Raw genomic sequence first — 12,428 nt, 5'->3', positions numbered from 1 at the left:
TTGTGTATGTTAAACTATTGTTGCATTCCAGGAATAAATTACACTTAATCATGGTGAATAATATTTCAAGTGTGCTATTGAAATATGTTTGCTAGTATTTTGTTGAGGATTTTTAAACCTATGTTCATCAGGGTTATTGCCCTGTAATTTTCTCATAGTATCTTGTCTGACTTTGTTATCAGAGTAATGCTGACTTTGTAACATGAGTTTGGAAGTAAACACTTTTTTCACTTTTTTGGGGGAAGACTTTGAGAAAGATTGCTATTAGTTCTTCTCTAAGTGTTTGGTAGAATTTTGCAGTGAAGCCATCTGATCCTGGTCTTTTCTTGGAATGGAAACATTTTATTACTGATTAAATCTCCTTAGTATTGGTGTGTTCAGATTTTCCATTCCTTCAATACTCAAAGTCTTGGTAGTTTTTGTGTATCTAGGAACTTATCCATTTCCTCTAGGTTATCTATTTTTTTTTTTTTTTTTTTTTTTTGCGCACTGCAACTTCTGCCTCCTGGGTTCAAGCAATTCTCTTGCCTCAGCCTCCTGAGTAGTTGGGATTACAGGGGCCCGCCACCACACCTGGCTAATTTTTGTATCTTTAGTAGAGACGGGGTTTCTGCATGTTGGTCAGGCTGGTGTCAAACTCCTGACCTCAGGTGATCTGCCTGCCTCAGCCTCCCGAAGTGCTGGGATTACAGGCATGAGCCACTACGCCTGGCTGACATTTAGTTTTTCATAGTCGCTTGTTATGATGCTTTTTGTTTCTATGGTATCAGTTGTAATGTCTCAGCTTTCATTTCTAATTTTATTTGAGTTTTCTTCTTTTTCCTAGTTATTCTAGCTAAAGGTTTGTCAATTTTATCTTTTCAAAGAACTAACTCTTCATTGATCTTTTCTATTGTTTTTCTATTCTCCATTTGTTTTCTTTCTTCTCTAATTTTTATTATTTCTCCCTTTTTATGAAAGGGAAACCCTGACTCTTCTTCTTCTTCTAGTTACTTAAGTTGTAATATTAGGTTATTTATTTTAAATCTTTTGTTTGATGTAGGTATTTATTGGTATAAACTCCCCTCTTAGACCTGCTTTTGTTGCATCCCATAAGCTTTGTTATGATGTGTTTTCATTTTCATTTATCTTAAGATATTTTAAATTTTTGCTTTTAATTTCTTCTTTGACCTATTGATTGTTGAGGAGTCTCTTGTTTAATTTTCACGTTTGTAACATTTTTGAAATTCCTTATATTATTGATTACTAGTTTCATGTCATTGTTTTTGAAAAAATAATTTATATATTTCAATCTTAATTTTGTTGTGACTTGTTTTGTGGCTTACTCTATGATTATCCTGGAGAATGTTCCTTGGGTGCTTCAAAAGATTATATATTCTGCTGCCACTAGGTGAAATGTTCTATATGTGTCTATTAGGTCCATTTGGTCTAAAGTGTAGTTTAAATCCAATCGTTCTTTACTGATTATCTGTCTAGATAATCTGTTTATTAAAAGTGGGATTTTGAAGACCTATGATTTTATTGCAGTCTATTTCTCTCTTCAGGTCTATTAATATTTGCTTTATATATTTAGGTGATCCAGTGTAGGGTCCATATATATTTATAACTGTTATTTCTTCCTGATGAAATAATCCGTTTATTATTATGCAATGACCTTATTTGCCCTGTTTTACTGTTATTGACTTAAAGTCTATTCTATGTGATGTAAATGTAGCAACCCCTCATCTATTTTGGTTTCCACTTGCATGGAATATCTTTTTTCCATTTTTACTTTCAGTTATATGTGCCCTAAATTGCCATTTTAATAATTATATTCTGGCTATCATATATTTTTTTTCTGTCTTCCACTCTTTCTGCTTTGTGTGTTTTTTTTCCTTTCTTCTATTTTTCCTGTCTTCTTCTGTGGTTGATGCTTTTCTCTAATGGTATGCTTTGATTCCTTACTTTTTATCTTTCATGTATCTACTACAGGTTTTGCTTTGTGGTTACCTTGAGACTTACAAAGGAATGTCTTATAACGAGCGATTTTAAAATGATAACTTAACTCTGATTACACACAAAAACTCTACACTTTTACTCTACCACCCCCATTTTAGTTTTTGATGTCACAATTTAAATTTTTTATATAGTATATCCCTTAACACACTACAAATATACCTCATTTTGTCATGATTTACTTTATTGTTCTTCACAGATAGTGCATTTTTTTTACAAATTGAAGGTTTGTGGCAACCCTGTGTTGAGCAAGTCTGTCATTTTTCCAGCACTATGTGTTTATTTCATGTCTGTGTCATATTTTGGTTATTTTGAGCTTTTTCATTATTGTTATTATTACGTCCATTAAGGCTATCTGTGATCAAGTGATGTTTGATGATACTATTGTAATTGTTTTGTGGTGCTGTAAATCACATCCATATAAGGTGACAAACTTAACTGATAAATGTTGTGTGCATACTGACAGCTCCACCAACTGGTTGTTCCTCCATCTGTCTCCCTCTCCTCAGCTGTTCCTATTCTCTGAGACACAGTAATATTGAAATTAAGCCAATAAATAGCCCTGAAATTGTCTTTAGGTGTTCAAGTGATAGGAAGAGTCACACATGTCTCACTTTAAATCAAAAGCTAGAAATGACTTAGCTTAGGGAGAAAAAGCATGTCAGAAACCAAGATAGACCAAAAGCTTAGTTTTGGGCCAGTTAGCCAAGTTGTGAATGTAAGGGAAACTTTCTTGAAGAAAAGTAAAATGACTACTTCAGTGAACACACAAATTACAAGAAAATGAAACAAGCTTACTGCTGATATGGAGAAAGTTTTAGTGGTCTGGATATATGATCAAACTAGTTGCAACATTAAGCCAAAGCCTAATCCAGAACAAGTTCTTAAACTCTCTTCACCTCTATGAAGGCTGAGATAGATGTGAAAGCTGCAGCAGAAAAGTTTGAAGCTAGCATAGTTTGTTTCATGAGGTTTAAGGATGGAAGTTGTCTCTGTAATATAAACATGCAAGGTAAAGCATCAAGTGATAATACAGAAGTTGCATTAAGTTATCCAGAATATTGAGGTTAGATAACTGATGAAGGTGGCTACAGTAAACGATAGTTTTTCAGTGGAAACAAACAGTAAAATACTAGAAGAAGATGCCATCTAGCGCTTCTATAGCTAGAGAGGAGAAGTCAATGCCTGGCTTCAAAGCTTCAAAGGACATCATGATATTCTTTTTAACAGCTAATGCAGGTGGTGACTTTGAGTTGAAGCCAATGCTCATTGATCATTCTAAAGATCCTAGGGCCCTTAACAATTAGACTAATCTACTGTGCCTGTGCTCTATAAATAAAACAACAAAGCCTAAAGGGCAGCACATCTGTTCACAGCATGGTTTACTGAATATTTTAAGCTCCCTGTTGATATCTACTGCTCAGAAAAAAAGATTCCTTTCCAAATATCACTGCTCATTGACAGTGCACATTGTTACCCAAGAGCTTTGATGACGATGAACAAAAAGATTAAACTTGTCTTCATTTCTGCTAACACAACATCCATTTTGCATCCCATAGATCAAGGAGTAATTTTGACTTTCCAGTGTTATTATTTAAGAAATACATTTTGTAAGGCCATGGCTGCCATAGATAGTAATTCCTCTGCTGGATCAGGACAAGGGAAATTGAAAACCTTCCAGAAGGACTCACTACTTAGATGTCATTAAGAACATTCATGATTTATGGGAGAAGGTGAATGTATCAACATTTACAGGAGTGTAGAAGGTTGATTCCAACTCTTATGAATGACTTTGATGGGTTCAAGATTTCACTGGAGAAAGGTACTGCGAAAGTGGTGGAAATAGCAAGAGAAATAGAATTAGAAGTGGAGTGTGTACATGTGACTGAATTGCTTCACTTTCTTAATAAAACTAGAATGGATGAGGAATTGCTTATTATGGATGAGCAAAGAAAGTGATTCCTTGAAATGGAATCTACTCTTGGTGATAATGCTGTGAACATTGCTGAAATGATAACAAATAATTTAAACTAGTACATAAACATATTTGATAAAACAGTGGCAAGATTTGAGAGAATTGACTCCAATTTTGAAAGAAGTTCTACTCTGGGTAAAATGCTATCAAACAGTATTGCATACTACAGATAATTTTTTATATGTAAGGAAAAGTCAATTGATGCAACAAACTTTATTGTTGTCTGATTTTAAGAAATTGCCACAGCCACCACAACCTTTGGCAACCACCACCCTGATAAGTCAGCAGTCATCAACATCAAAGCAAGACCTTCCAACAGTAAAAAGGCCAATATTTGATGAAGGCTCAGATGACTGTTAATCTTTTTATTTTAGCCATTAAGTATTTTTAAATTAACATGTATACTTTTTAGACATATTATCACACATTTAAAAGGCTACAGTAAAATGTAAACATAACTTTTATATGTACTGGGAAACAAAAATATTGTGATTAGCTTTATTGTGAAATTTGCTTTATTTAGGCATTCTGGAATTGAACCCACAATATCTCTGAGGTATACCTCTATTGTAGCTATTATTATTTTTAATAGTTTTGTCTTTTAGCCTTTATCCTAATGATATCAGTGATTTACACACCACCATTACATTATTAGAGTATTGTAAATGTACTTACTTTTAACAGTGAGTGATATATACTTTTATATATTTTCTTTCTTTTTTTATTATACTTTAAGTTTTAGGGTACGTGTGCACAATGTGCAGGTTAGTTACATATGTATACATGTGCCATGCTGGTGTGCTGCACCCATTAACTCATCAATTAGCATTAGGTATATCTCCTAATGCTATCCCTCCCCCCTCCCCCCACCCCACAACAGTGCCCAGAGTGTGATGTTCCCCTTCCTGTGTCCATGTGTTCTCATTGTTCAGTTCCCATCTAAGTGTGATAACATGCGATGTTTGGCTTTTTGTCCTTGCAATAGTTTACTGAGAATGATGATTTCCAATTTCATCCGTGTCCCTACAAAGGACATGAACTCATCCTTTTTTATGGCTGCATAGTATTCCGTGGTGTATATGTGCCACATTTTCTTAATCCCGTCTATCATTGTTGGACATTTGGGTTGGTTCCAAGTCTTTGCTATTGTGAATAGTGCCACAATAAACATACGTGTGCATGTGTCTTTATAGCAGCATGATTTATAGTCCTTTGGGTAAATACCCAGTAATGGGATGGCTGGGTCAAATGGTATTTCTAGTTCTAGATCCCTGAGGAATCGCCACACTGACTTCCACAATGGTTGATCTAGTTTACAGTTCTGCCAACAGTGTAAAAGTGTTCCTATTTCTCCACATCCTCTCCAGCACCTGTTGTTTCCTGACTTTTTAATGATTGCCATTCTAACTGGTGTGAGATGGTATCTCATTGTGGTTTTGATTTGCATTTCTCTGATGGCCAGTGATGGTGAGCATTTTTTCTGAGGAACTGGTACCATTCCTTCTGAAACTATTCCAATCAATAGAAAAAGAGGGAATCCTCCCTAACTCATTTTATGAGGCCAGCATCATCCTGATACCAAAGCCTGGCAGAGACACAACAAAAAAAAGAGAATTTTAGACCAATATCCTTGATGAACATTGATGGAAAAATCCTCAATAAAATACTGGCAAACCGAATCCAGCAGCACATCAAAAAGCTTATCCACCATGATCAAGTGGGCTTCATCCCTGGCATGCAAGGCTGGTTCAATATATGCAAATCAATAAATGTAATCCAGCATATAAACAGAACCAAAGACAAAAACCACATGATTATCTCAATAGATGCAGAAAAGGCCTTTGACAAAATTCAACAACCCTTCATGCTAAAAACTCTCAATAAATTCGGTATTGATGGGATGTATCTCAAAATAATAAGAGCTATCTATGACAAACCCACAGCCAATATCATACTGAATGGGCAAAAACTGGAAGCATTCCCTTTGAAAACTGGCACAAGACAGGGATGCCCTCTCTCACCACTCCTATTCAACAGAGTGTTGGAAGTTCTGGCCAGGGCCATTAGGCAGGAGAAGGAAATGAAGGGTATTCAATTAGGAAAAGAGGAAGTCAAATTGTCCCTGTTTGCAGATGACATGATTGTATATCTAGAAAACCCCATTGTCTCAGCCCAAAATCACTTTTATATATTTTCATGTCACTAATTAGCTCGCTCTTTTTTTTTTCCTTTAGCTTGAAGATTCTGTGTAGAATTTTTGGAAAATAGGTTTGGTGGTGATGAACTCTTTCAGCTTTTGTTTGTCTGGGGAAATCTTTCTCTCTACTTGATTCCTAAAGGACAGCTTTGTTGGGTAAATATTTTTGGTTGGCAGTTTGTTTTTCCTTCCTTACATATGTTCTTCTAGTCTCTCCTGTTCTGCAAGGTTTTTGCTGAGAAATTTTCTGCTAGCCTTGTTATAACTCTCTTATATGTGATTTGCCTCTTCTCTCTTGCTGTTATCAGGATTTTCTCTGTTTTTGATTTTTGACAGTTTGATTATAATATGTCTTGGTGTAGTCTTATTTTCATTAAATCTGATTAGAAACTTCTGACCTTCTTGTACACCTGGATATTTGTATCTTTCCCCAGATTTGCAAACTATTCTGCTATTATTTCTTTAAATAATCTATATTTTTTTTGTCTCTCTCATCTCCTTCTATAACTCCTATAACTTGTATAATATAGTTTGGCTATGTTCCTACCCAAATCTCATCTTGAATTTTAGTTGCCATAATCCCTACATGTCATGGGAGGAATTCAGTGGGAGGTAATTAAATCATGGAGGTGGTTTCCCCCATGGTATTCTCATGATAGTAAGTTCTCATGAGATCTGATGGTTTTATAAGGGGCTTCCCCTTTTGCTCAGTTCTCATTCTTCTCTCTCCTGCCACCTTGTGAAGGACATGTTTGCTTTCCCTTCCACCATGATTATAAGTTTCCTGAGGCCTCCCCAACCCTGTAGAACTGTGAGTCAACTAAAGCTCTTTCCCTTATAAATTACCCAGTCTTGAATACATTCTTATAGCAGTATGAGAATGGACTAATGCATTGCACATTTTCTCTTTTGATGCTGCCTCATAAATCTCTTAAGCTTTCTTCATCTTTTCTCATTCTTTTTTCTTTCTTTTTCTTTAGTTGTATATTTTCAAATAACCTGTTTTTCACTTCACAAATTCTTTGTCTACTTGATAATTTCTGCTGGATGCTGTCTAGTGCATTTATTATTTCATTTATAATGTTTTTTAGCTCCAGAATTTCTATTTAATTAAAAAATAATTTCAGTCTCTCTCTTTAATTCTTTGTTTTGGTTGTACTGTTTTACTGATTTCATTGAATTGCTTCTCTGTACTTTAAGTTCACTAAGCTTTCCTAAAAAAATTATTTTGATTTTTTTGGTCAAGCATTGCATATATCTCTATTTCATTGGGGCCAGTTACTGTAAAATTACTGTGTTCTTTTGATGATGTTATGTCTGTTTTTTTATGTTTATTTTTGCCTTATGTTGATGTGTGTGCGTTTGGTAAAGCAGTCAAATGCACACACATCAATATAAGGGAAAGATAAACATCAACAAAACCAAAAAGAATCACCTTCCAGATTTTATGAACTAGTTCACTATGGAAAGACCATGCCCTATGAGGGAGGGTTTGTTGGGTGGGGTAGCATCAGTGATGGTGCAGATTTGTAGTCTCTGTGTAGCTTTTTCAGCTCAGGTCAGAGTTGATAAAGATCATAAGGATCCTCAGTGGCCAAAGCAGTGGATATTGGCAGTAGCAGCAAGAATTGATAGGGTCTTCAGTGGTGATGGCTGCTAAGGTTCTTCTGATCTTTCCCCCCACCAGGGAAGCTGGAGCTGAGAAGATTTCTCTTGGTACTAGATCTGGCTTGTAGGGCCTCTCTTAGTGGCAGTATCACCAGTGTCTGATGGGTGACACTCATGGAGTAGCCATGAAACTGAGGTCTGATGCATGGGCTCACATGGAGAGATTATGGCTCTGGGATTAGAATGGTAATGACATTGGTGCTCAAGGTGCAGATGCCCCTTCTGCTGCATGGTATAGTATGTGAGGCATGAGTGCACATGCAAAGTAGTGTGGGAGCTGAGAACACAGTCTTTCAGTGGCTTCAGGGTTGGGGCAAGGCGTAGCTTTCTATGGCTGAGCTGTTGCCCAGGGCACAGGTGCCCCTGCTGTAATGTTGGTAATAGTATACGTATAAATTAGTCAAGGAGACAAGAATGAGAGCACAGGTATGCACAGAATTATAATGGCTCTGAGGCCTGGATGGGGCTAGCTCTCTATGGTGGTTAAGTCAGTGTCTGGAGTGTGGACACATGCAGGCAGAGTTTAACACTGGGGCTTGGAGTGTTAACTAGCTTACTATGGTGCTGGCTGTGATGTTAAAAACATGGGTGAGCCCAGTGTAGTCAGACTATCAGTCTGGAGTGTGGGCATTCCCAGGGTGGCCATGGCTCCAGGGCTGGAGCTTACACATGGTTGGGAGAGGTGGTGACCCCATTCCCAAAGCAGCTCGACAGCAACTGCTTCTTGGGGGATAGGAGGAAGGTATAGCCACATCTCCCCCTCTGGGGTTCTCTTGCAGGAATGACTGTTGGTTACTCAGTGGGAAAAGATGCTAGTGTCTCCTGTGGAGCAGGCCACTAGAGACAATGTTGGTCCTTTCTGTGTCTAATACTGATAGCTTCCACCTTTCTTCTTTGTTCCTAGCCAAATCATGGCCTCTTAGGTGTGCCAATCACACCAGCAATTCTTTCTATGTGGTTATTCTCCATTTTTTCCTTCACGATGTTGCTGCAAATTCTTTAATGGGCCCTTGAGTCCTCTCTGGGCTATTTTAGTTTGTGAATAGCTGTCTATACTTGAATGCTTTGGAGGGATGAATATCTCCTACTCCATGATCTTGGTGATAGGTCCTAAACAGAGATTTTCTTACATTCTAGAAACTATTAATTCCCCCATTCATTGCAGAGGAAGTCTGTGTGAATGTTGGAGCATGATTTTGACACTTAGCCAGGCAACTTACAATTCTGTCTTTGCCCTCACTTCCTGCTTGCACAAAGCCTCAAGATCATTCACAGGTTACAGCTCAGTGCCTTCTCTATTTTTTCCTTAGGATGAGCATAGTCCTGGGCATATACCTGGTCTTCTAGATTTTTGGGAGTATGTCAGAGATTTTCAAATCCCCTATGGATATCTCATTACTCAGCGTATGTTCTTAAGCTTTGGTTAGTCTGTTGTTTTCCCTGACTATTATCCAATACCTTTGTCATAAGCAAAGTTAATCAATTGCCTGTAACTGTTTTGACGAATGCCCAGAGGAGAAACGTTTTTCACAGTGGGTGAGTTCTGATTTAAGTAAAATAAAGACAGCCTTGCAAGTGGAGTCTTCCAGAGAACTGCCAGACATGTCAAATAATGGCAATTTCTTGGGAATTTGAAAGGGCTCTGTCCCTGTTTTGCTTTCTACAGTGGCTGCCAGACAATTTGTTTTCACTATGAATGAGAGCTATTACTTTTTAAGGCTGTTACAGAGTTGGATACTGGGGGCTGAGAATAATGCAAGCCAAAGCACCGCAAAGCTCATTTTTCTCACTGAGATTCAGCCATTTTCCTGAATAAATGCTCCCTGAGTAATTGCAAGTGTTTGGTTAATTTCCAGAGTTTTACAAATTTGATTCTGATATTTTTTGCCAATTTTCTTGCTTCCTTTATAGAAGAGAGAATTATCAGAATTTCTTTCTCTATCGTTTTCCCTATGTCAAAAGATATATTTTATATATAGTCTTAACATTTATTGTAGATACAGTTAGAAAAAATTTTACTGACATGAATATTTCTAAATCAAGAAGACATTTTAAAGTTAACAATTGGGAGAAACCATAGGTTATCAAATGCTTTGGAAAAATATGAAGATAGTGTGGTTGCCAACCTCCAACATGTCGAAAATAATCCTTACTTCCTAGTTTTGTGGTTCTTCTTTTCCCATACTGAATCCAAGTTGATTTGTACAACCAAAATAATCATATGAAAGTGATGGTGTATGACCTTTGAGACTAGTTCATAAATATGTTGCCACTTCCACCTCAGTCACTTGAATAGGTTATTCTTGGAAAAGCCAGCTACTATGTTGTGAGGACACTAAAATGTACCTATAGAGAGGCCCATGTGGAGAACTGAGTATTCCACTAAAGCCAGTACTAATTTACCACCTATGTGAGTGATCCATCTTGTCCAGTCCCAGCCAAGCGTTCTGATGACTACAGTACCACAAAGCATCTGACCGAACCTTTTGATAAGCCTTTATCCAGATCTGCCTAGCCAAGCTGTTCCTGAATTCTTGACTAATAGAAACTGTGAGATAATAAATGTTTATTGTTTTAAGCCACCATGTTTTGTCATAATTTGTGTATCAGCAATTGATTGCTAATATAATAAGCAATTGAAAGCATTTATTTACAAGGAAGCAAATATCCTCAGAAAGAAATTGAAATATGTTTTTAAAAATTTCCCCTGAGAAAATACTAGCCGTACATAATAGAAAAGGCTCTTTCAGACATACCAAACTTTCAAGGTTATATTCAGAGCACAAAAGAAGATTGTAACTATTCCATATTCATTTTCTGAATATGGAATAACTTCATTACCATGACCTGAAAATAATAAAACCAATGAAAAAAATTAAAATTTTACTTATGAATATATATACAAAGATCCTAAAAGAGTCTACTAACAAATGGAATCTAGCAGGATAAAGCTTTCTAGAAATGCATTATATATACATAAAGCTATAATAATTTAGACCTGAAGTACTAGCATCAGAATAAAAATATATTAATAAAAAATAATCTTAAGAACTCAGAAACAGCACATCAAACCTAATACCAGTTATGAAATAATCCATTCCTTCCAGACTTAGTTGAAGTGTCTAAATCTATATTATAAACATCTAATGCATATTAACAAGTATGTATATATGTAAATATGTATATATGTAATATTTTAAATCAAATATACATATGATACATAAATATGGCTTACAATGAAGCAGATTGACATTTGAAGCATCAATATCTTTAATCTAAAAATAGATCTTAGAAAAACTAAAAAGTCTCTCAGTTATAAAATCATTCAAAAAGGAAAATAGGAAATTTGAGAGGAAGAAATTCAAATGCCAATAGATACTTTAAAAAGTATAATTTAGGCAGTAATTCAATAGTTAATGGTTATGTTCCAACAAATTCCCCTTGGTTTACAAAAAAGAGCAGTAGCCAGCGTTGAGTTCATTTGAGAAGTGAAAGGTAAATATAATTAACAAACTTTTTGGAGATTATCCACAATATGCCAAAATCCTTAATATTGACCCAGACATTTTATTTAACATTTGAAATATGAATGCTTTATGTCCTTAGCATTGCTCATTTGTGGCTCGTTTGTGTTTTCTTTATATAGATACTATTTTTAGCAAAGGAAATACATTAAAAATCAAATTTTCATTGCCCTTCTACCCAGGAGAAAGCGGGCAGTTTGATGCATAGGAATGCAAGGTTTTATATGATTTTCCTTAGATAAATCTAAAAGCTAACTCTGGTATCAGTTTGTCTCATCACATTTGGAAGGTGTGACATACCTGCAAATAGCGGACCACTCGGCAAACCAGGTCAGGTGCCGTGAAGTCTCCAGTGAATCGCCAATTAATATCTGTCAAGATGTTGACCAGTCCTGTGAAAGAATCTAACAAAAACGTACAAGTGCTTACATTCAGGGTTTATTTTTATTTTTATTTTTCAAATTTGCAGCTAAGCCACAATAGAAATGAAATCCTGGGGAGGTTCATTTTTAATTTTTTTCCTTCCTGCTTTATCAGATGGCCACTGAGGAAATGCAAAGCAAGGTAGGAGTTCTTTGACTTATATTACTGAAGCTTCTTACCACTTAAATGTAACCACCTAGGAAGAATTTCAGTAATGACTGAAGAGGAATCATGCTAATCATAGAGTTGACTTTTTAAGTCACAGAACAGAAGTTTTCGGGGTATGTAGGTCTGTACTAAAGAAAGCACTGTGTGAGAATCAAGAGGACAAAATTGAGAAAAGCAAAATCGTTATCTTTGGAGAATACTTCAAAATTCCCCTTACTACACCCATTATTTTGCAAATTGGACCTCTTGTTTCTCCTTATGCCCAGTCTTAGTGCCCCTCCTCCCAGTTTTCTTTGCTTTCTTCTCCTTTCCACTTTCAACCTCTACACTTGGGAAACAGCAAGTGTATGATCTATCCATTTAATTAATATACTTGGTTGAATTACAGAGGCACTAAGGCCAAGATCAGGACATTTTTCCTCTTGTGGGCAGGTCATCTGTACTCAATTCTATAGTTACAGATTGTACAAGCTGTGCA

At 36.1% G+C, this 12,428-nt stretch overlaps 1 protein-coding gene and 1 long non-coding RNA gene across 6 annotated transcripts in view; one reads left to right on the top strand and one right to left on the bottom strand.

Moving 5' to 3' along the window:
• Positions 1 to 12,428, top strand: part of NPSR1-AS1 (NPSR1 antisense RNA 1) — a 487,820-nt gene that overhangs the window by 44,107 nt on the left and 431,285 nt on the right. The gene's annotated exons all lie outside the window — the stretch shown is intronic.
• Positions 1 to 12,428, bottom strand: part of NPSR1 (neuropeptide S receptor 1) — a 220,115-nt gene that overhangs the window by 88,108 nt on the left and 119,579 nt on the right. For 3 of the 5 annotated variants that reach the window (NM_207173.2, NM_001300935.2, NM_207172.2), the window contains exon 3: positions 11,660 to 11,763. The exons of 1 other annotated variant lie outside the window; for it this stretch is intronic. In NM_207173.2, the coding sequence (NP_997056.1) occupies positions 11,660 to 11,763 (104 nt within the window). The remainder of the gene's footprint in view (positions 1 to 11,659; positions 11,764 to 12,428) is intronic. One more of the 5 variants, NM_001300933.2, reaches the window with a different exon arrangement.

Source organism: Homo sapiens, chromosome 7, assembly GCF_000001405.40.
Source record: "Homo sapiens chromosome 7, GRCh38.p14 Primary Assembly".
NCBI classification, from domain to species: Eukaryota; Metazoa; Chordata; class Mammalia; order Primates; family Hominidae; genus Homo; species Homo sapiens.
This window is presented reverse-complemented; position numbering and strand designations above follow the sequence as displayed.